This window comes from Homo sapiens, chromosome 16 (assembly GCF_000001405.40).
Source record: "Homo sapiens chromosome 16, GRCh38.p14 Primary Assembly".
NCBI lineage: Eukaryota > Metazoa > Chordata > Mammalia > Primates > Hominidae > Homo > Homo sapiens.
This window is the reverse complement of record NC_000016.10, coordinates 71,763,736-71,788,245: the sequence shown is the minus strand read 5'-3', so window position 1 is coordinate 71,788,245 and position 24,510 is coordinate 71,763,736. Positions and strand designations below refer to the sequence as shown.

General features: G+C 39.9%; 2 protein-coding genes across 3 annotated transcripts in view, besides 1 other annotated feature; both read left to right on the top strand.

The window, feature by feature from the left end:
• Nucleotides 1-24,510, top strand: part of AP1G1 (adaptor related protein complex 1 subunit gamma 1) — a 79,835-nt gene that overhangs the window by 20,589 nt on the left and 34,736 nt on the right. The window contains exons 3-10 of one of the 2 annotated variants that reach the window (NM_001030007.2): nt 13,654-13,778; nt 14,884-15,025; nt 16,994-17,090; nt 18,547-18,623; nt 20,361-20,369; nt 22,662-22,757; nt 23,520-23,600; nt 23,798-23,896. In NM_001030007.2, the coding sequence (NP_001025178.1) occupies nt 13,654-13,778; nt 14,884-15,025; nt 16,994-17,090; nt 18,547-18,623; nt 20,361-20,369; nt 22,662-22,757; nt 23,520-23,600; nt 23,798-23,896 (726 nt within the window). The remainder of the gene's footprint in view (nt 1-13,653; nt 13,779-14,883; nt 15,026-16,993; nt 17,091-18,546; nt 18,624-20,360; nt 20,370-22,661; nt 22,758-23,519; nt 23,601-23,797; nt 23,897-24,510) is intronic. The other variant, NM_001128.6, reaches the window with a different exon arrangement.
• On the top strand, nt 10,323-10,709 carry LOC124903713 (parathymosin-like). Its single transcript, XM_047435017.1, has one exon. It carries the CDS (start codon nt 10,412-10,414, stop codon nt 10,610-10,612), a length of 201 nt encoding a protein of 66 aa, XP_047290973.1. The 5' UTR covers nt 10,323-10,411; the 3' UTR covers nt 10,613-10,709.
• Nucleotides 13,048-13,275: a silencer, noted in NCBI's record as "fragment chr16:71808874-71809101 (GRCh37/hg19 assembly coordinates)". NCBI's record gives its function as "represses an EF-1alpha promoter that drives an FKBP-Casp9 reporter gene in an ReSE screen in K562 erythroleukemia cells {active_cell/tissue: K562}" and the evidence as "EXISTENCE:reporter gene assay evidence [ECO:0000049][PMID:32094911]".

Below are 24,510 nucleotides of genomic sequence, written 5' to 3'. Positions count from 1 at the left end.
AGAAAGAATGTGCAACACTATCAGGAAAGATAGTCATCAGCTTATTTACTGTTTAGGTCAGTAATTTCAGTGGAAGGAGATCTCCTGCCCCCAAGTTAAAACAAAAAAGTACTGGGATTTAATCTTATCAGACTGACTTGGGTTTTATGGTCATCTTGGGGTTTGGAGTGGGGTCAACATCTTTAGAAATACATGATCAAGAGTGGGAGTCCATTAATTTCCCAAAGAAAAATTGATGTGTTAGTATCAGAGGAAAGGGGACTGGATCAAAAGAAAAGGAGCCAGGCAGAAGCAACTGCTGGGTCATCAATATAGTCATATATTTGGTTTGGGACAGAATTAGTGTCATAATAGCATTCTTCTCTTTCACATGAATAGTTTCTAAAAATATAATATGTTCTTTGAAATATATTTCATATTTCATTCGTAGAGTGTTAGGAGTGGAATGAAACCCTGAGGCTCTGATGTTTCAGTTATAAGCTTTACCACATCAAAAATTGATCCAGGTGGTTATCCATATACTGTGTGTCATAGTATAAAGCAAATAGATGCCTACGTGTTCTTGTTGATCGGTTGATTGATTTTAAGTATTAGGTTAGATTTACAGAAATCTGATATATTAGAAATTGGGCTATAAAAAAGTCTAGTGAGGGAGAAGACTCTTAATTCCTCAGCGATAAGCATTATTAACATTTTGGAAGCAGTACATTTACATATTCCCAAGGAAGTTCTTTAAGAGCATATTCTTTTTTTGTTGTTTTTAGAGGCAGGGTCTTGCTCTATGGCCCATGCTGTGGCTCTGTGATGGCTCACTGTCACCTCAACCTACTGGGCTCAAGTTCTCCTACCTCAGCCTCTCGAGTCACTGGGACTGCAGGTGCATGGCACCACACCCAGCTAATTTTTTTTTTTTTTTTTTTTTTTTTTGAGACAGAGTCTCGCTGTGTTGCCCAGGCTGGAGTCCAGTGGCGTGATCTCGGCTCACTTCAACCTCCACCTACTGGGTTCAAAAGATTCTTCTGCCTCAGCCTCCCGAGTAGCTGGGACTACAGGTGTGTGCCACCACACCCGGCTAATTTTTGTATTTTTAGTAGAGACGGAATGTTACCATATTGGCCAGGCTGGTCTCGAATTCCTGACCTCGTTATCTGTCTGTCTCGGCCTCCTAAAGTTCTGGGATTACAGAAGTGAGCCACTGTGCCCGGGCCCAGCTAATTTTTTGAGACGGGATCTCACTCTGTTGCCCAGGCTGGATTGTGCAGTGGACACCTCAGGCTTACTTTCTACTGGGCTCACTGCAGCCTCGACCTTCTGGGAACCACACCCGGCTAATTTTTGTATTTTTTATAGAGACAGGGCTTTGCTGTGTTGCTCAGGCTCATTTTGAACTCTTGAGCTCAAGCAATCCATGTGTCTTGGCCTCTCAAAGTACTGAGATTACAGGCGTGCACTATTGTGCCCGGTCAGCTAATTAAAAAAAAAATTTGGGCTGGGTGCGGTGGCTCACGCCTGTACACCCAGAACTTTGGGAGGCCGAGGTGGGTGGATCATGAGGTCAAGAGATAGAGGCTATCCTGGCCAACATGGTGGAACCCCCTCTCTACTAAAAATACAAAAATTAGCTGGGCATGGTGGTGCGTGCCTGTAGTCCCAGCTACTCAGGAGGCTGAAGCAGGAGAATCGTTTGAATCCGGGAGGTACAGGTTGCAGTGAGCTGAGATCGTGCCACTGTACTCCAGCCTGGCAACAGAATGAGACTCTTTCTCAAAAAAAAAAAATTTTTGTTGAGTTGGATTTCTGCCACAGTTCCCTGGTTGGTGTTGAACTCCTGGGCTCAAGTGATCTTTGGGCCTCAACCTCCCAAAGTGCTGTGATTATAGGTGTAAGCCACAGTCCCTGGACTAAGGGCAAATTCTTGAATTTGGAATCAGAGTAGATTTAAGACTTTGGGGGATATTTCATTTTGTAAAAAATCTCTCTATATTTTCTAAGATTCATTTCTTTAATATGTTTAAATAGAATGTGCTTTTAAGGTTAGGTGGCATTTGGGGGTATTTTGGGACTTAATTATTTGATAAAATATTTAATTCTTAGAAAGTAAATGCTCGAGAAAACTGTGCTAAAATTTTATCATAAAATATTTTTCTGAATGGGACTGGGAATCATAATTTTAAGTTCTTATTCTGTTTCCTCTGTTTCAATGAGTCACCATCTTGTTCATATCAGTAATTTGGTACCCCATCCGTTGGAATTACCTTTATAATATGCCTTTAAAAGGTTCATATCTAGATTTTGTCACCTGCACGTATGATCACAGTGCCATTTTCATTTAGTGTATAATAATAGCCACTTTTTTTTTTCTTTGAGATGGAGTCTCGCCCTGTTGCCCAGGCTGGAGTGCAATGGTGTGATCTCAGCTCACTGCAAACTCTGCCTCCTGGGTTCACGCCATTCTCCTTCCTCAGCCTCCCTAGTAGCTGGGACTACAGGCGCCTGCCACCATGCCTGGCTAATTTTTTTGTGTTTTTAGTAGAGACGGGATTTCACTGTGTTAGCCAGGGTGGTCTCGATCTGACCTCGTGATCTGCCCGCCTCGGCCTCCCAAAGTGCTGGGATTACAGGCGTGAGCCACCATTCCCAGCCCACTTTTTTTTTTTTTTTTTTTTTTTTGAGGCAGGGTTTCGCTCTTGTCACTCAGGCTGGAGTACAATGGCACAATCTTGGCTCATTGCAGCCTTCACTACCCAGGTTCAAGCGATTCTCCTGCCTCAGCCTCCTGAGTAGCTGGGCTACAGGCACCTGCCACCACACCCGGCTAATTTTTGTATTTTTGGTAGAGACAGGGTTTCACCATGTTGTCCAGACTAGTCTTGAACTCCTGACCTCAAATGATCCACCGTCTTGGCCTCCCAAAGTGCTGGAATTACAGGTGTGAGCCACCACACCCAGCCTAGTTATTGGAAGACTTTTAAATATGTTTTAAACAACTTGGGTATGTGAGTCTACTTTATAAATAGTAAATTTTATGAAATCTAAATACAGTTCAGCTATTTCTTTTTTTTTCTTTTTAGTTTAGCTATTTCTGATGAAAATGTACAAATTGAGATGTGCTGTAAGTGTAAAGTACATACTGTATATAGAAGCTTTAGTGCAAAAGCAAGTGTAAAATACCTAATTATAATTTTTGTGTTGATCATACGTTGAAATGATATTTTAGATATATTGATTAAAGAATATTATTAAAACTAATTTCACCTTTTTAAAACTTTTTACTACAGTATCTAGTATGGTGCTGATAGAAATAAAACACAAGCTACATAGAAATTTAAAAATTTCTAGTAGCTATATTTTAAAAGTCTTAAGTTTTGCAATAAAACTTAAGGGGTAGGATGGACACGGTGACTTACGCCTGTAATCCTGGCACTTTGGGAGGCCAAGGTAGGGGGATCACCTGAAGTCAGGAGTTTGAGACCATCCTGGCCAACATGGTGAAACTCTGTCTCTACTAAAAATACAAAAATTAGCCAGGCGTGATGGTGGGTGCCTGTAATCCCAGCTACTTGGGAGGCTGAGGCAGGAGAATCACTTGAACCTGGAAGGTGGAGGTTGCAGTGAGCCGAGATCATACCATTGCACTCCAGCCTGGGCGACAAAGCGAGACTCTGTCTCAAACAACAACAACAAAAAAATATCTTAGCCCTGCCTTGCTGTACAAAGGATTTGAGATGGCATAAACTACCAGCATCTACATTAAAGAGAAAAATAATAGTAGAAATTAAGAGTTGGAAAAAGGAAGCATTTAGAGCATAAGGCCAGTGTAGTTGCTGTTGGTGCGACAGCTAAGGCAAGAAAAGAGACAGTCACCTCTCAGGTAGTTGTTATTGCCAAGATGGAAGAGCAAAACTGCAGAGAACCAGATTGCCTGGATGTGACTTCTGGCTTTGAGCAAGATCTTTAACCTTTCTGTGTCTCAGTTTCCTCATCTGTAAAATGGGGACAATCTTAATGCCTACTTTATAGTGTTATTATGAAGATTAAGTTATAAGTGTTAGACACATTTTGTATATAAAAAGCCTCATGTTATGCATTTTACCATTTCCTAAAGGACGGCAATGTTTTTTGAAGCACTGAATTCTAAGAGATTTTTTATATGGACCTTTTGTCTAGGAGTCTCTTAATAATGTAAGAGACAGTATCCTCAGCATTTTTATAACAAAAGTGGTGATAGATTTCCTGTAGTGTGTGTAACCTTTTGCGTGTGTAGGTTAAGCACAACCCAGAAATATTAATGAATTATCTAAAGATAAGTAGGTAGATTGCAGGAGTAGAAAACTGGTGGCTCGGGGCCAAATTCTTCCACAGATGTGTTCTTTTTTGTCCTGTGTGGTATTTAAAATTGTTTCTGCCAGTACATAAAAAAGAAAAAAGAATTTCCATAGAAATCTGGACTTCTAGTTTCTCTTAGAAACATAGTAAGATTTGTGGAATGGAAATCTACATTTCCATATGTCAGTAGTGTGCTGCTTTTAGGCTGGGCCTGATTCTGTTTTTCCTCAGTTCTAGCCTTGCTTGCCATACCCAATTACCTGTGTAGGATATTCTTCCCTTCCATCTGTGTAGCATAGGACTGCACTTCTTTAGCTTCTCTAAATTTTACAATGTTTTCTGTACAGTCTTATACATCTTTTTAAAAAATTAAAAAAAAATTTCCTTTAAAACACAGGATTTTTAAGTCTTAACACATCTTTGGAGAAATATATTTGTAGGTTCTTTAGAGCTCTTGTTTCTGTTGCAAATAGTATCCTTTAAAATTTTAAATAATTATGTTGTAGATCTGTAGTGATATAATTGATTTTTAATAATATTTATCTACTTTGCCACATTATTGAACTTGGTTCTAAGAGTCTCTGTGGACGTCATTGTTTCCATGTAGTCAATACTACTATTGTCTGCAAACAATGGCAGTTCTTTTTTTTCCTTTGATATCCTTATACATTTTCTTATTTTCTTATTACACTGTACAGGTAGTACATTATTGCAAATAAGTGATGATAATAGCCACTCTTGTTAAAGCCGTAAACAAATGCTCTACAGTAATATGTGGGTGACTGTCATAGGGTTTAGTAGACACGCTTTCTCACATTAAGGAATTTTTTTCTTAAAATAAAGTACTTAAGCTAGTACTATTCCTTGAAAAGCCTTAGAATTAATGACCAGACCAGAAGCAATGAGCTATCCTTAAGCCTAGACTGTGGTCTCCAGATACTATTTTCAGCCCATTGGAAAGATGGCTGATCCCAAATCCAGGGTAAGGAAATGTACAAAATAAGCTTGAATGATGTTACTATGCCAGAAAGCAAGAAAGACTGCAAAGATCATGTCAGAAGGTTTCAGTAATCACCAGAAGAGGCAGTCATACCCCCAAAAGAGATAATTTGAGTATTAATAAGAATAATAATCGGCTGGGCATGGTGGCTCACACCTGTAATCCCAGCACTTTGGGAGGCCGAGGCAGGCAGATCACGAGGTCAGGAGTTCAATACCATCCTGGCCAACATGATGAAACCCTGTCTCTACTAAAAATACAAAAATTAACCAGGTGTGGTGTCAGGCGCCTATTAATCCCAGCTACTCAGGAGACTGAGGCAGGAGAATCGCTTGAACCCGGGAGGTGGAGGTTGCAGTGAGCCAAGACTGCGCCACTGCACTCCACCCTGGGCAACAGAGCGAGACTCCATCTCAAAATAATAATAAAAATAATAATAATAATAATAATAATTGTAGGCTGGGTGCGGTGACTAAACTTGTAATCTCAGTCTTTTGTGAGGCTGAGGCGGGCAGATTGCTTGAGCTCAGGAGTTCGAGACCAGCCTGACAAACATAGTGAAACCCCATCTCTACTAAAAATACAAAAATTAGCCGGGCATGGTGGCAGATACCTGTAATCCCAGGTATTCCGGAGGCTGAGGCTTGAGAATCACTTGAACCTGGGAGGCGGAGGTTGCAGTGAGGCGAGATCGTGCCACTGCACTCCATCCTGGTTGGCAGAGTGAGACTCTGTGTCAATAAAAAAAGGATAATAATTGCAATTGATTGAAATAAACGTTTATATTGCCTTTCCTTAGCAATAGTATGGCCTTCCTTCTGTATAGAGAAGTTTCTTCTTAGAGCTGTAGTCCAACTAATAAATGAAGGAATGAATTAGAATCTAATCATTTTGCAACCCATGATGATCGTCAGTTGCTGCTAATGTCACAAAAGAGAGACGACTACCAGAAATAATTATACGCCTCCTGGTGAAAGTTCATACCACTGGCTCTAAGTGGTGCATATTTGCAAAATGAGATCACAACAGAACAAAGCAAAACCTGAAAAGTCTGAATTTGATCAAGCCTCCTTAGGTATATAACCTAGATAAATTTTCCAGTATACAAAGACATGTATGTATAAGAGTATTCATTTCAGCAGTGTTTCTAATAGGTAAAACATTGCAAACAATCTGTTTGTCCTCAGATAATAGGTAAGTTTATATTCAAAAGTGGGATACTATGTAGCAGTGAGTTATGACTGAATTAGATCTTCTTGTCTTGATGTGAGTAATACTCAAAGCTGTTGAGTGAAAAGAGCGGGAATACAGTTTGATATTTGTTTAAAGTTTAAAACATTTAAAACCACCTGTCTCTCCATGTGTAGTAAGAATATATGGCATGGCAGTCATGAGCAGCAGTTTAGGGTTCTGATTACTTCTGGGATGGAGAAATGAGATTGAGGCCCAGTACACAGAAGACTTCATTTGAATTTGTAATGTAAAATAAATAGGGTGAAATGTTAAGATTTGATAAAGCTGCTTGGTGTGTCAGTGACAGTTACGTGATTTTTATGTATTTTGAGTGGAATATTTCATAATTTTCTCAAAAGAAAAAATTGGATTCACTAGGAATGTCAGGTTTTTGTTTTTTGTTTTTCTGCCAGAAGAATGAAGAAACAGACTCTGGTCTATATAGATTTTATGTTGTCAGGCCTACATAGTGGTAGTGCAGTTGTAACAAGCTTGCTTTTCAAAAATGATGATTTTAGGTGTGTGTGTGTATAAACCAGGCAGTTATTTCTGAATATTAAAAAGAAATAGGTTGGGTATGGTGCCCCATGCCTATAATCCCAGCACTTTGGGAGGCCAAGGCAGAAGGATCGTTTGAGGACAGGAATTCAAGACCAGCCCAGGTAACATAGTGAGACCTCATCTCTACAAAAGTAAAAAGTTAGGGTAGGGTACAGTGGCTCATGCATGTAATTCCAGCACTTTAGGAAGCTGAGGCAGGCGGATGGCCTGAGCTCAGGAGTTTGACACTAGCCAGGGCAATACGGTGAAACCCCGCTCCAGCCTGGGCGACAGAGTGAGACTCCAGCTCAAAAAAAAAAAAAAAAGTAAAAAATTAGCCTCATGTGGTGGCATATGCCTGTAGTTGTAGCTACTTGGGAGGCTGAGGCAGCAGGATGGCCTGAGCCCAAGAGTTAGAGGTTACTAACTGTGAACTAACAGTGAACTGTGATCATGCCATTGTACTTCAGCTTGGGCGATAGAGCAAGACCTGTCTCTAAACAAAAAAATAAAATAAATAAAGGTGACTTTTAAAAAGGTCTACCCAATCAGTTGCAGGCCTGTTAAAATTTACAGAATTTCAATTGCATGTTTTCATTAAGGTGATTGTTCATATCATAAAGCTGCAATTTTTTTTTTTTTTTTTTTTAAATTAAGAGACAGGATCTTACTCTGTCACTCAGGCTGGAGTGCAGTGGTGCAATCGTAGTTCACTGCAGCCTTCAACAGGAGGCTCAAGCGATCCTGGTGCCTGAGCCTCCTGAGTAGTTGAGACTACAGGTGCATGCCACCACGCCTGGCTGATTTAAAAAAATTTTTAAACAAAATTTTAAGACAAAACTTTGTTTAAGAAACTTTTGGCCGGCGCGGTGGCTCACGCCTGTAATCCCAGCACGAGGCCAAAACGGGTGGATTGCTTGAGGTCAGGAGTTCAAGACCAGCCTGGCCAACATGGCGGAACCCCATCTCTACTAAAAATACAAAAATTAGCCGGATATAGTGGTGCGTGCCTGTAGTCTTAGCTACTTGGGAAGCTGAGGCAGGAGAATTGCTTGAACCCAGGAGGCAGAGGTTGCAGTGAGCCGAGATCGCACCACTGCACCCCAGCCTGGGTGACAGAGCCAGACTTCGTCTCAAAAAAAAAAAAAAAACAAAAAAAAACTGAAACAAAATTTTTTGTTTTTAAATTTTGTAGAGATGGGGTCTTGCTGGGTTGCCTGGACTTGTCTCGAGCTCCTGGGCTTAAGGAATACTCCCGCCTTGGCCTCCCCAAAGTGCTGGGATTACAGGTGTGAGCAATTTAGATGTGCATCTGACCGTGTGCGAAACTGTTCTAAAAGCTAACAAAATAGGTGCAGCTTTTATCCAGGGGTAACCGGATTAAACACTGATAAATGGCAACATTTGTACTTGCTACAGGAAGATGTAAAAAGGCCAGAAACATGGAAAATTCTCTTCGTAAAATAGCTTTGAAATTCAAAGAAAATTGTAACATTAAGAGCCATTTGGCGGGGTGTGATTGCTCACACCTGTAATACCAGTGCTTTGGGAGGCGAGGTGGGCAGATCACTTGAAGCCAGGAGTTTGAGACCAGCCTGGTTAACGTGACAAAACCCCATCTCTACTAAAAACACAAAAATTAGCTGGGGTTGGTGGCACGCATCTGTAGTTCCAGCTACTTGGGAGGTTGAGGCACGAGAACTGCTTGAACGTGAGAGTCAGAGGAGGTTGTGTTGAGCCGAGATAGCACCACTGCACTCCAGCCTGGGTGTCAGAGTGAGACTCTCCCCCCTACTCCCCAAAAAAGAGAGTCATATAGAAAAACTTTGTAAAAATTAAATTGTCAGTGTCTATGTCAAATTTACTCCATCAGAATATTGGCGGGGGTGGGGTGGGGGCGGTGACCCATAGTTTTCAAAACTCTCCTACCTGTTCTGACCAGTTAAGTTTGGGAACCACTTCTTCAGGCACTGTATTTGTTACAAAGGGGGCTGAAAACTTCGATCTCTTAGGCTTGTTGCTAATGGCTGACTAGAATGCTTCTGCTGAGAAGAGTTTGAAGTAAAAGTTTTCCATTAATTGTGTGGAATTTGGATATAAAAGCTGGACTGTTTACTCTGGTCTTATTAAAGCGTCTGCTAGAGTTGTGGTTAGAAATGTTTCAGGTAGGTTTTTCAAGTCGCTTTAAGTGGAGTAGTAGTACTCCATTGAAATATTTGAGATTGTTACCTAAGGGGCAGATGCATGTAATTGATTACTTTTTTCCTTCTGTTCTTTAACTCATGCAACAGTGTGGAGTTTTGCTTTTGGAGATTTGGAGATTGCTGCGGAAAAACGGATGCCCTCCTTTTGTGTGCATCTCCCCCATTGTACTTTTTCCCCCCAAACCTTTATCTTTCTTTTTCAACATTTGATAACTTTGATAACATTCTTTTTTTTTTTCTTTCTTTCTTTTTTTTTTTTTAAGACAGAATCTCAATTTGTTGCCCTGGCTGGAGGGCAGTGGCGCGATCTCAGCTCACTGCAACCTACTCCTCCTGCTTTCAAGTGATTCTCCTTCCTCAGCCTCCCGGGTAGCTGGGATTACAGGCTCACGCCGCTACGCCTGGCTAATTTTTTGTATTTCAGTAGAGACAGGGTTTCACCGTGTTGCGCAGGCTGGTCTAGAACTCCTGAGCTCAGGCAGTCCACCCACCTCGGCCTCCCAAAGTGCTAGGATTACAGGTGTGAGCCACTGCGCCCGGCCTTGATAATATTCTTAAAGATTAAACATGGTATGTTCTCAGCACTATGGCTGGCCACTTAAGTATAAAGTGTGATCAGAGTTAATCCATCACTGGAGTGTATATATCAGATGCTATTTCCAGTCATATAACCTTATATTTTCCCTTAGATTTGTCACCTTCAAAAAGCAAATGCTTGTTTTTGAAGCAGAGTCACTATAAATGGGGGAATATTGAAATAATGCTTGCCCCTTTAAATTTCAGCTTTTCTTTTTGCTGTTTAGTTTTTAGGTAAGGTTTTTTTGTTGTTGTTATTTGTTTTGTTTTTCCACTTCTTCTCTGTGCCTACTGCACACAGAGGAAGAGAGCAAATTTTAGGTATGTCTTAAATGTTACAAAAAACAGCTTGTATTCGTCAGTCACTGGTGACTTAGTGTGACTATCTTAAAACTTGACCCGACTGAGCAACTGCTGCTGCCGCCACCACTGTCACAATGCCAGGTTCTGGTCTCAGCCGCCCTCCACTGTCCAGGGCCCCTCTGTCTTGGCCCTGGGACCCTAGCTGCCTGCCAGCTCCAGTCCTAGCACCATGTTGGAGAAAAGCATGGAGGCAGTGGCTGAGTTGGGCACCAAGGACCTGAAGGAGAAGGTGGAGGAGGAGGCAAGCCAGAAAGAGCGAAAGAAAGAAGTGGTGGAGGAGGAGGAGAACGGGCCCGAAGAGGAAGAAGGAGATGATGAAGGGCCCGAGCTGAAGAGAGCTGCCGAAGAGGAGGATGAACCGGATCCCTAGCAGTAGAAGACAGAATGGGGCATCGGCATGACCGCCTGCCAACAGGCTGGGGATGGGAGGCCTCTCTCGGCCTGGAGGTTGGGGTGGGAACAGACAAGTCCAGCCACTCTTCGCCTGGCTCCTTGCTATGGGCCCTGCACCAGAGCCGCCACCCTCTTCTTTCTCCCCAGCTTTCTCATTTCCACCTCTCCCAGACACTGACCCCTCCACCCTCACTCTACCATTGTTCCACCTCCTGACCTACTCCATCTGAGCTCCCCAGCTGGCCCCCAGTTGCTCCTCTCTCTTTGTTTTCTTCTTGCCTCCCTCCCGCTCCCCCCACCCTCTGGTAGCCTCTCCTGCCTAACCTCTGCATCCCCTAGCCTCATGTCCTGCCTCATCCCTATCCTGCCTGGGATCTCCCTCAGATCCCCTCCTCTAAGACAGCGCCAGACTGGGGGTGGGCTGGGGTTGGGGCCAAACCCCACAGCTGCCTCCCTCCCCTCCCTTTTTGGTATAGTTTTTTTTTTTTTTTTTTTTTTTTTTTTGTAACAGTTTGGCTGTTTTCCTAGGCTGGAGTGCAGTGGCGCGATCTCAGCTCACTGCAACCTCCCGCCTTCAAATTTCAAACCATTCTCCTGCCTCAGCCTCCCGAGTAGCTGGGATTACAGGCGCCCACCACCACACCTGGCTAATTTTTTATTTTTAGTAGAAACGGGGTTTCATCATGTTGACCAGGCTGGTCTCGAACTCCTGATCTCAGGTGATCCATCCACCTTGGCCTCCCAAAGTGCTGGGATTACAGGCATGAGCCACTGCTCCTGGCCTGCCTTTTTTTGTATAGTTTAATAAGAAATGGTCGTGCAAAAAAAACCAAAACAAAAAAACCACACTTGACCCTAAAACCACAAAGTAGTATTAATGCCTAAGAGTATGTCCTATTCCTAATAAAATATTTTTGGATAATTTATCTGTGTAATGCTTGGAGTTTGTCAGAAGTAAGATTGAATGAGGATGATGAAAACTCTGATATCTGATTCTTGGAACATTTGCTTTCACTACTAAAATACTTATAGAATTATGAAATGAGAAGATTGAAAAACCAGTTTGAAAAAGAGTAAGGTTTGTTTGATAATATTTTAGCTTCTGATTTTCTCATTCACCTTAGTAAATTTTCTGTTGACATTGTAAAGATGACTTTCATCAACTTCTGTTTCAGAAATTGCTGTTTAAATTTAAATTCAATGTGAAGAAGAAAGGGAAGATTTGTTACTTACATAATCTTTTCCATTTCACAGGCATTTATGTTTTCCTTTTTGATCCTGGTTATGTTCCTTGGAGACTTCTTTGAAATGCTCGTGATAGTATAGTCATTCAGCTAACTTTAGATGTTTTTAATGCAGGTACATTGAGAGAGCAATTTTTAAATAGCTTGAAACAACTCTGTGGAACTGTTTTACTTTCCTCAATTTCACTTTCGAATTTAGTAGATAAATTCATAATGGAAAGTAGTCTCACGTGATTTTAGCTTCCTGTATACACAGGTATCCATTTGAGCCCCTTCCCTTGGGAGGTATGATTCTAAAGGGGATCATGGTTTTTATAACTCTTCTTGGTTAGTCTGTCTTGTGTACGCACTTTGAATACTGCTCTAGAGGTAATGTTTTGGCCTTTTCCATGTTTGTCAAGATGGAGTGATAAAGTATGTCAAAGTGATTTTGAAGGTGGTTCAAGAAAGGCAAAGTAGAGGGACAAACTAATTTACAAGAACTCTTAAGCCCTAAGAAGCTATTTCTAACAATGATGTAAAGAAGAAATGTAAATCGTTTTAGCTTAATTCCACTACTGAGTTTTCCTCTGTTTTTTGTTTTTTCTGTATTGGATTCCTAAACCCTCGCCCTCTCCCGTAGTACTTGGATCAAGCTCTGAATGTACTTGGTTCACATACTTTCCACATTATATTAAACTTAGTTATTGCCTCTCTCTTTTTAAATTAATTATACATTCCTCATGGTTAGTATGGGTTGGTGTATTTCTAGTTATTGAGTTTTTTTTAATTCCCAAAATGGAACTATACCTTAAGTACACGTTAGGTGCTCATTTAATGTAACTTGGGGATTAAAGTAGGAATTTGGTTTGTTAATCTCTTATAATACTTCTAGTTTGTGTTTGTGTGAATCTGCAAAACTAATGCAAAACTGAGAGATTATTTGAATGGCAAATATCATGGGGCCTTGATAAAATGATCTGTTCTAGAACTTGATTTCTATTAAGATATCCAAAGGTCTTAAATCTTTGCCTTCTAAAAAGATTTAGGTAGTTTGGCCGGGCGCGGTGGCTCAGGCCTGTAATACCAGCACTTTGGGAGGCTGAGGCGGGCGAATCATCTGTGGTCAGGAGTCCGTGACCAGCCTGGCCAACATGTTGAAACCCTGTCTGTTCTAAAAATACAAAAAAAAAATTACCTGGGTTTGGTGGTGGGGGCCTGTAGTCCCATTTACTTGGGAGGCTGAGGCAGGAGAATCGCTTGAACCCAGGAGGTGGAGGTTGCAGTAAGCTGGGATCGCGCCATTGCACTCTAGCCTGGGCGACAAGAGCAAAAACCCCATCTCAAAAAAAAAAAAAAAAAAAAAAAGCCAGGCGCGGTGGCTCATGCCTGTAATCCCAGCACTTTGGGAGGCCAAGGCAGGTGGATCGGCAGAGGTCAGGAGTTTGAGACCAGCCTGACCAACATGGTGAAACCCTGTCTCTACTAAAAATGCAAAAATTAGCCAGGCATGGTGGCTAATTCCTGTAATCCCAGCTACTCGGGAGGCTGAGGCAGGAGAATGGCTTGAACCTGGGAGGCAGAGGTTGCAGTGAGCCGAGATCACACCATTGCACTCCAGCCTGGCCAACCAGAGCGAAACCCCGTCTCAAAAAAAAGAAAAGATTTAGGTAGTTTGATGAAACACATTTGTACTTTACTTTAGCCAGCTGGGGACTCTGGGTTAAAAACACTGCTTTTCTAGATTGTGGTAGCAAGTTTTAATTTCCTTCTTTTTTTTTTTCTTTTTTTGCAGTTGGAGTGCCTCAAGCTTATTGCCTCTCAAAAATTTACAGACAAACGCATTGGCTATTTAGGGGCAATGCTGCTGTTAGATGAAAGACAAGATGTCCATCTTCTCATGACCAACTGTATCAAGAAGTAAGTCTTACTTTTCTTTCTTCTAACAACTGTTAACTACTTTGTTCTTTTTTGTATTTTCTTTGAGACGGAGTCTTGCTCTTTTGCCCAGGCTGGAGTGAAGTGGCGTGATCTTGACTCACTGCATCCTCCTCCGCTGCCACCGTCCTCCCCCAACTGCCAGTCTGGTTGAAGTGATTCTCCTGCCTCAGCCTCCTGCGTAGCTGGGATTATAGGCACCTGCCACCACGCCTGGCTAATTTTTGTATTTTTAGTAGAGACGGGGTTTCACCATGTTGGCCAGGCTGGTCTCGAACTCCTGACCTCAGATTATCCATGCACCTCGGCTTCCCAAAGTACTAGGGTTACAGGCTTGAGCCACTGTGCCTGGCCTACTTTGTTCTGGTTTTTTTTTTTTTTTCTTTTTGAGACGGAGTCTCGCTCTGTTGCCCAGGCTGGACTGCAGTGGCGTGATCTCAGATCACGAGGTCAGGAGTTCAAGACCAGCCTGGCCAATGTGGTGAAACCCCGTTTCTACTAAAAATACAAAATACAAAAATTAATGGGACGTGGTGGCGTGCGCCTGTAGTCCCAGCTACTTGAGAGGCTGAGGCAGAAGAATCACTTGAACCTGGGTAGCTACTCAGCCTCCCAAGTAGCTGGGATTATAGGCGCCCGCCACCACGCTCGGCCAATTTTTACAGTTTTAGTGGAGATGAGGTTTCACCATGTTGGCCAGGCTGGTCTCGAACTCTTGACTTCAGGTGATCCACTTGCCTCGGCCTCTGAAAGTGCTAGGATTACAGGTGTGAACCACCCCTACCCTGCTGCCAAGTTTGCTGAGTTTTCTAAAGTGTGTGTCTGACATCCAGTAGATAACATGTTTTTCAACTTCCACTGCTTTGGTACCTGGAAACATTGGCTTGTAAGCCTATAGGAGGGACTGTCAGTCTGTTTACTATATTGATAATTTGTAATAAAGTTGGGATAAACATTTTCTGCAACAAATAATCCTATTGTTTTTGTTATTGGAGAAATCTTGAGTCATCCTGAACTAGTTTGAAATTGTGAAGCTGCTTCTTGGGGAGCACCAGGCTTGTTCCTACCTTCCTCTTTTCTTTTGCAGTGATCTTAATCATAGCACGCAATTCGTACAGGGGTTAGCACTTTGTACCCTCGGCTGCATGGGCTCCTCAGAGATGTGCAGAGATCTTGCAGGAGAGGTAGAGAAGCTCCTGAAAACCTCCAACTCTTACTTAAGAAAAAAGGTAACTTTTAATGAACCAAATGTCTGTTTGGATTAGGGAGTATTATGGAGATGAGAAGGCAGATTACTCATTTTTGAAAGATCTGATGATAATGTAAAGTCATTTTTTCTGTGTAGTAAATCTGTTTTACATGATTATATATTAACCTTAATTCCTCTTTTCTTAAGGAAATGATTTATAAACAAACAAATGTTACTGGATATATCCTAGGTGGCATACCAAATTCCTAAGTTATCTGATTCTAAACAGTATTACAGCAAGGTGATTATGAACAGATTTTTATGAATTTACTTTTGTCCTAATAATTAATACCCATATCTTTGTATTAGTGCCTTTGTGTCTCTGGAAGGGCAGTTCTATTGGGACCTAGATAATTATTAGGGAATGATGTAGAACCCACTTTCTGAATGGATTAGTAATAGAAGAGAATTATTCTTCTATCTGATTTTATTTGTTGATATAAGCATTTTATTGAGTTTTTAAAAATTGCTTGAACCCTACAACCTTTGAAAATGAAGTGTATGGAATTTAGAAGTCCAAGAAATGAACATAAACTGTGATCTGTTTGGCATTTACTGTGCCTCTCTATTAATGGTTTGGGAAAGAGGCATTGAAAAGGCCAAGCCATTTCCCAGGATGATATGCAGTTAATGATGGCTGCAAACAAAGTTAAATTATTTTCTTAATTTGTAAGCTGGTCCTTTTTCTTAAAGAATATGTGAGCTACTCTTGTTCAGAAAGCTCATTGTCATATTAAAATGAAACATTCCTGCAGGTTAGAAAAAAAAGATAGGCTGGGCATGGTGGCTCATGCCTGTAATCCCAGCACTTTGGGAGGCCAAGATGGGTGGATCACAAGGTCAGGAGATCAAGACCATCCTGGCTAACATGGTGAAACCCCGTCTCTACTAAAAATACAAAAAAAATTAGCCGGGCGTGGTGGCGGGCGCCTGTAGTCCCTCACCTGGAGGCTGAGGCAGGAGAATGATGTGAACCCAGGAGGCGGAGCTTGCAGTGAGCCGACATTGCGCCATTGTACTCTAGCCTGGGCGACTGAGCGAGACTCCGTCTCAAAAAAAAAAGAAAAGAAAAGAAAAAAAGATATTTTTTCCTCCCAAATATAACATGGATGGAATTAGCAGAAATTTTTTTTGTTAATATATCTAAACTTTTATGGTATTTGACTCAAACATATAGTAGTTATAGTTACTTTGGGGGATATACAAAAATCAGTGTTTAAATGTACTTTTATTTTCCAGTGAACAAGCTAGTAAAACCATCTTTTCTTTAGTAGAGACTAAGTATTTTTCAAATGATTTTCTTGATGTCAGTAGAGTCATTTGAGGGCCACATAGATACTATTAAACATAACAGTAGATTTATAGCATTTACAGTATATATCTTTCAGTTGTGTGATGTTTTTATAGGCTGTTAGTCATCTTACTCAGAGGTATGATTATCACAGATTGAGATTGTTATCTATTTTTACTTCCTTAAAACTCCACATAAATTATGTTTAACTTTTTGATAAATTCATATTAACCATACATAGTCTAATGTAGAAAGTTTTTGCCTACTTGTCTAGCAATATATGAACAAAGGGAGAGGTGAACTAGAAGATCTCTTTAATATAATAGTATAAACTGGAACTCCCCAACCAGTTAATAAATAATTTTCTCTCCTCTTAATTTTTTTTAAATAGAGGCAGGTTCTTACTGTGTTGCCCAGGCTGTTCTCAAACTCCTGGGCTCAAGTGATTCTCCTGCCTTGGGGCTCCCAAAGTGCTGGATTATAGGAGTGGGCTATCACTGTGTCGAGCCATAAATCTAATATCTAACCTCTTCCTTCTTTATTTTTCTAGTAGATGAACTAGTTGGTGAGATTTTTGTGTTGGTGGTTTTTTAATAAGATTGGTTGCCCTGGCATAATTGAAATAAACCTTTTGTTCTTTTATTTTTTTTTTCATAGGCAGCACTGTGTGCTGTTCATGTCATCAGGAAAGTTCCTGAACTTATGGAGATGTTTTTACCAGCAACAAAAAATTTATTGAATGAGAAGAACCATGGTAATGTAATTTGGATGTATTCATGAAGTATTGAGGGAGAAAGGGAAAGAGAAAAGGCTTAAGGCTATGTTAGTCCTGTGTCTCTCAGAACAGTGGAGTCGCGTTTCTGCTGTGCCTTAGACACTTTTCCAGGAAGGTCTGGTCTGACAAGTCTTTCCACTCACATATCCTAGTTTTATATTAAGAGATTGATTCCTTCATAGTAAACTTATCTTTCATCTCTGGTCCTCTTTTACTTTATTAAAAATATTAAGTTGTTAATATTTAGTGTAATATACAAATGAGCCTACCCATAATTTTCATGTGTAAAATCCTTTGATTTCTTGCCTATTTTACAATAAAAGAAAAAATTCCATTATCATGTGGTAGGAGTATAAGATTTGTGCGGCTGGGCGTGGTAGCTCATGCCTGTAATCCCAGCACTTTGGGAGGCCAAGGTGGGCAGATCATTTGAGCTCAGGACCAGCCTGGGCAACAAAGTCAGAACCCATCTCTGTAAAAAATACCAGAATTAGCTGGGTGTGATGGCACATGCCTGTGGTCCCAGCCACTCAGGAGGCTGAAGTGGGAGGATGGCTTGTACCTGGGAGGCAGAAGTTGCAATGAGCCAAGATTGTACCACTGCACTATAGCCTGGGCTACAGAGCCAGACCCTGCCAGACTCAAAAATTGTGAGAATTCTTTTGGGTTATTTCTGACAGAAGCTTGTATTAGGTACTCAGAATCTTTGTATAAAACAGAGGAATTAAATGGAATGTGACTGTTCTTTTCTCAAACATTTTATTTTTATTTGAAGTCAGTGAAATAAGTTCTGAATAAAGAAAATTCATGTGGCTTAAATGCTAAGAGGAAAAATTGTATGGTATATTTAATTTGACAAATTCAGTGCTGTGCCCAGAATGCTCAAAATATACTTGTTGAACAACTGAATTATTTGGAGCACGTATTTATTATTTAGTGAAAAGCATTGTGAGATTGTTTTTACTGACTCTGGAGCAGTTAAATTTACTTTGTCATCCAAAGTTTTCTCAGAGTTTTGATGCGTTTTATCTGGAAATGTAAAATCTTACTAAGATTTTTGCCTCTTGAATTATCTGTTAGTACTCAGATAATAGCTTACTGATTAAGTATAGAACAGATCATACCTAGCTTGCATTGTGTGTTTTTATGGATATTCTCAGATGGAGAGACATATGTATTGGTCGTCACTTTTTCATAATTATTTTGATCACATAATTGTTGAAAACATTCCGATTTTACCAACTTGGCCAGTTTTAAATCAGGCATCTATTAAGTTCTTCCTTTGTATTCACTTCAATGCTTAGATGCTTTGGGGGATTAAAAAGCAAAAGTAGCAACTATCCTTTTGGAATTGACCTTCAGGAACTCAAAGTCCTGTTCTATAAAATTGAATAATAGGCCTCATTTTTAGTTTTCCTTTGATCTTTTCTTTCAGGTGTCCTCCACACATCTGTAGTCCTCCTCACAGAAATGTGTGAGCGAAGCCCAGACATGCTTGCGCATTTCAGAAAGGTAGGTGCCATTCTGTATGCCTAAGCCTTTCTTGATTGAAAAATGATTTTCCTGAAAAGTACATGATTTTCTTCTTATTTTTTTTTGAAAGCAAGCTATGGATCTGAATAAGGGATTTAACTAGCCCTGCTATGCAATTGGCCTGGAAGCCAGATTTAGGCATATAAGTGAGAACTGGCACTAGTATTGTGTTTTCCCTTTCATAATAGAAGTCTTCTCTCATTGTTGGCAGACACACCAATCTCATGTGTTTTATCTACTGTTTTCACATTTGAGTCAAGAAACATGATCTGAGGTCAAATTAGAAATAGGAGTTTTGTGTGTGTTGTTTTTTTTTTTGAGATGTAGTTTTGCTCTTTTTGCCCAGGCTGGAGTGCAATGGCGTGATCTCAGCTCACTGCAACCTCCTCCTCCTGGGTTCAAGTGATTCTCCTGCCTCAGCCTTCCTTGTAGCTGGGATTACAGGTGCGCGCCACCATGCCCATCTAATTTTTGTATTTTTAGGAGAGTCGGGGTTTCACCATGTTGGCCAAGCTGGTCTTGAACTCCTGACCTCAGGTGATCAGCCCGCCTCAGCCTCCCAAAGTGCTGGGATTACAGGTGTGAGCCACTGCTCCTGGCCTGTTTTTTTTTTTTTTTTTTTTGTATTTTTTTTTTAAAGGCAGGAATTTCTTTTCTTTTCTTTTTTTTTTTTTTTTTTTTTTTGAGACAGAGTCTTGCTCTGTCGCCCATGCTGGAGTGCAGTGGCGCGATCTTGGCTCGCTGCAAGTTCCGCCTCCCGGGTTCATGCCATTCTCCTGCTGCCTCAGCCTCCCAAGTAGCTGGGACTGCAGGTGCCTGGCACCACGCCTGGCTAATTTTTTGTATTTTTAGTAGAGTCAGGGTTTCACTGTGTTAGCCAGGATGGTCTTGATCTCCTGACCTCGTGATCCACCCGCCTCAGCCTCCCAAAGTGCTGTGATTACAGGCGTGAGCCACCGCGCCCAGCTCTTTTCTATTTTTTTAAGGTTAAAACTAAAAATTTTTTTATTACTTTTACTCTACTGTTCGTTTTAGGACATTGACTCCTGTGATGGAAGTCTTAGTTCTCTTAAGTACTCCCTTCTCTCTTTTTTTTTTTTTGTGGCGGAGTCTGGCTCTGTCGCCCAGGCTGAGGTGCAGTGGTGCAATCTTGGCTCACTGCAACCTCCACCTCCTGGGTTCAAGTGATTCTCCTCCCTCAGCCTCCTGAGTAGCTGGGACTACAGGCGCCTGCCACCATGCCCGGCTAATTTTGTTTTGTATTTTTAGTAGAGATGGGGTTTCACCATGTTAGCCAGGCTGGTTCGAACTCTTGACCTCAGGTGATCCACCCGCCTCAGCCTCCTCAAGTGCTGGGATTACAGGCGTGAGCTACCGCGCCCGGCCTTTTTTTTTTTTTTTTTTTTTTTAAACTAGTATTTTAAACTGGACATTTCTGTTTCTCCACTTAATTTTAGACTCAGAAGAAGACTGTTCTTTGGGTAGTTACATGCATTGAACTTCTTTTATAGGATGCTGGTCATTCCATAAATAGAACTCACTTTGTACTTTAGATCTAGTAAGGCTCTAACAGGAGTTCTTTTTTGGCTTTTTTTCCCTTAGATGTTCATGTCTTGATTAAATTATTGTAATATAGTATGAGACCCGTATCTGTCCCTAATGCTTGCTTTGTATGTTTTGTTCCTGTTGTCTGTTTGGAATCCTGCTGTATGTTAGAATGAAAAGGTAAGAATTAACCCTCTTTTAGATGGTGCATGCTGGCATTAGGTCCTTAGTAGCTTTTGTGTATCGATCCACAAATGTGGCTTTTAAAATATACTAATGCTGAAGCTGTGCTTAATACTGTGAGTTATTGTTCTACCATCTTTGGCTAACTTCCTAGTCTAGTTTTTGTTTTGTCACTTAAACTCCTGACTCCAAAGTCAGCCTTGGATTTCAGTTGCAGCCTTTCCTGAGTTGTAAGCCTTCTTCTCTGCCTTTTCTTTATCTTTACTTGAGAAACTTTGAGCAGTTTCCCAGTGGCTTTGGTGATGGCAATTCCAGATTAGTCTGGAGCTTTGACACAAAATGCTGCTGCTTTTTGAAGTAGATATTTTAGAACCGCATGTGGGTAACCTCATACTTTAAAAAGCTCCGTATGTACTGCTGAGCTTTCAGTTCACACTTAGAGATTTTATTTCTCTCTTACCTGTACTTAATCTTACATAGAAGTTTTGGAATATTAAAAGGATTTTGAGGTAGAGTAGTGGGCACCAACTGATTTTCATGGCTGCAGCCTTTCCCTGTGTCATCTTATTTTGTTTGTCTTGTCATCAGTTTTAATAACTTGCATTTTTGTCTGAAAAATGAAACTGGGTTCCAAGAATTGTATGCTGAACATTTAGTCATTTGTGCTCTGTGTCCCAGGGTAATGTTATGTGATGTGCTGGCCTTTTTGGCAGTGGATAAAACAATTTCTGAATTTAGTAGCCCAAGGAAAAATGACTTTTCCAAGAAATAAACCAGATAAAAAATAACTAGGGTTATATCTAGTACAAAAAAAACAGACCATTGGGAAGTATGTAAGATAAGGTTGGTAACTACTTGGTCTTCATTTTATTACAAAAATATTGATTTAAAGTGGTTTTAAAAGGTATATTATTATCTCTAATATAACTTTGCCCATAGTTGACAGATTTAATGAATTTACAGATCTCCATGGCTTAGATTTGTCTTATTTGGAGTTGTCCAAAGTAGACTTTTGTTTAGGTGACTTATAAGTTACTTAATTCCAAACTGTTATGGCTCAACTTATTTAAATTCTTACATACTGTGTTTTCTTGTGTTTATAAGTGGCCTTAATGTTTTGAATGCTTTGAGTGCATGCCTTGGATATAGCTTGGCTTTTCATTTCAATCTTGATCCCCTTTTAGGCTTGGGGAGTAGGGAAGGGACAGAGTCTAAATATAGTGAGAAAAAATAACTGAGTTGCAGCAGAGTTGTAGCTAAAATTGCCTGCAAAAGAGATGGAATGCAATTCACTTTGCACACTATTTAACTTAATTTTTGGTCATTAGAGTTGTTTATATAGCTAAAAATTGAGTTTTTAGTTGGAAACATAAAAAGTTCCTATTGTGGCAAACCTTTTGTTTTAATATCAAGTAATTGATCAACAGAAATGAAATGAGTGCCAATATTTAAAACATCTTCGGCTTGGCAGTAAAATTGCCTTTACTATGTGTTAGGACTCTTAATGGATAAAGTAAAGGAAGGATAGGAAGGAAATTCCTGATTATAAGGAATGTATAGTCTCATTGAAAAGACAAGAAAACAGGCCATAAAGCCATATATATAAATAAGTCCTGAAATTTAAAAAAATTGTATCATAGGAGTTAAGAATAGGAAGAGGAAATTATTCATGGCCTTGATGTCTCTTAAGATGAAAGATGTAATTTTTTCATGTGTCTTCCATTTGATTACCGTATTACTATTGTCAGCTTTGGTATTCCCTGTTGTTTGTTGGAAAAGGGTATAACTCTTCTATCTTAAGAGAAGAGATTTTTTTCTCTATTTGAGGTTGTATGTTTTAAAGCTATAATTTTAATAAGATCACTAGTTGTATTTTGGCATGATGACATGTTACATGCAAATGTTTGAATGGGTGAAAACTGAACATGTTTTTGCCACCTAGGCTTTTCAAGTTCTACAGAACTAGAAATGCGGTATGCCCCATAGGCATCTGTTTTACCTGGTTCCCATAGGCTTTCTGACCCAATATTATTTGTAATATCTTTACATATAACTCTTGCATAAAAAAGTCTGGTTTGGTTTTATCCAGATAAAATACATACTACTTCTTGAATATTGCCCTAAGTTACTCCTAAGTTTATCAAACATCTACAATACACTAGTATATTAAATCAGTAGAATTTGCTTGGACTGGGACCCTTACACCCTTTTTCTAAACCAAAGGACCTGCTTATTCATGAGACATTCTTCAATATTCACTGTTTTTTGATGCATCTTTCTTCTCTGCAGCTTGTGCCCCAATTAGTTCGTATTTTAAAGAACCTCATCATGTCCGGATATTCACCAGAACATGATGTTTCTGGTATCAGTGACCCCTTTTTGCAGGTGAGGTTGAAAGAACGTTTTAAATAAATGTTATATGAATTTAATATCTTTAAGTAGACAATTTCCTTCCTCTTAAGTTTGTGTTGAGTAGAAATTTGGTAGTTAATTGATTAATTATATTAATGAATAGTGACACAATTCTATATTAGATTAAGAGGATACAATTACAGGTCTTGCTCTGTCACTTAGGCTGGAGTGCAGTGGCACAATCTTGCCTCACTGCAGCCTCGACCTCCCAGGGTCAAGTGATCTTCCCAAGTAGCTGGGATTTCAGGTGCATGCCACCATGCCCGGCTCATTTTGTATATTTTGTAGAGACAGGGTTTTGCCATGTTGCCTAGGCTGGTCTCAAACTCCTGGACTCAAGTAGCCCGCCCCCCTCAGCCTCTCAAAGTACTGGGATTACAGGCAAGAGCCACTGTGCCCCACTTCAAATTACAGTTTTAATAGTCAAAATCATTTATTATTTGAATTATTTAATATAGCTCTGCAGGTGGTAGTATCTGGTAGTATCCTTTAGCTGTGGAGTACTGAAGTGTGGGTTGTTTTATAATAACTTTATTAGATGTAGAAGCATATATAGCTTCTCTAAATAAAGAAAATGTTTTCAATTCTTCTGTTTGATTTTTGACTATTTCTGATATGAATAAATGGTTCCAAATGAATTTCTAAGACTTCATTTAGTTATTTGAATTTCATACCAAGTGAGATTTCTTTGTGTGAGACATAATTTGTTGACACCTCTCATCTTTTGCACGTTAGGTACGAATTTTGCGGTTATTAAGAATTTTAGGACGAAATGATGATGATTCAAGTGAAGCTATGAATGATATATTAGCACAGGTGAGTAGACCAAACATATTAAATATATATTTATTTTAGTTTCGCTGGGAGTAGAATGATTATGGTTATATGGAGCAGTTTTTATTTGTGTTTCCTCATTCATAGCTGTAATCACAAAATGCCTCTTGTTACCTGTGAATATGTTTTGGGAGCATTGTTTTTATCACTTATGTACTGCCCTCGATATGTCTTTTCAGGTTGCCACTAATACTGAGACTAGTAAAAATGTAGGAAATGCTATTCTTTATGAAACGGTTTTGACTATCATGGATATTAAGTCAGAGAGTGGATTGCGAGTAAGTCTTTTTGAATCTTTTCTTCCCCCCCTAAATGTTTCACTTAGAATGGTTGACTTGGACTTCAGTACTTCAGAATTGTATTCCATTTGGAACTCGACTTTAAGAAAGAATGATGCAAAATGTGGAATGCTGGATTTTTGGTATCTGAAATATTCCTTCCCACTGAAGGCTTAACATTGATTATAATAAACTTTGGGAGATCTCAGGTGTAGCAATATAGTAGATATATTTGTCTTATCATTGGTGACGTTAACCTTGATCATTTGGTTGAGATGGTGTCTGCTGGGTCTGTCCACTGTAAAGTCATTATTTTTTCTTTTGTAATTAAAAATATTTTGGCAGATATTTTGAGACTATGTAAATATCCTATTCTCAGACTTTTACCTATCAGTTTTAGTATCCACCAGAGGATCTGGCCCACAACAATTATTAAGATGTATTCTAATGACAATTTTTCATTTCCCTCATTTTTTTCTCATTAATTGGAATTCTTCTATAAAGAGGAGTTATCCCTTCTCCTTCATGAATTTGTTCATTCTATCATTTATTAATATTAGAACTATTAGCCTATAGCCTTGTAAAAAGCAAATTTACTAGAGTATAATATTTGT

What these genes read in the sequence shown, in the direction of transcription:
- LOC124903713 (XM_047435017.1), top strand. Translation starts at nt 10,412, where the DNA reads ATGTTGGAGAAAAGCATGGAGGCAGTGGCTGAGTTGGGCACCAAGGAC.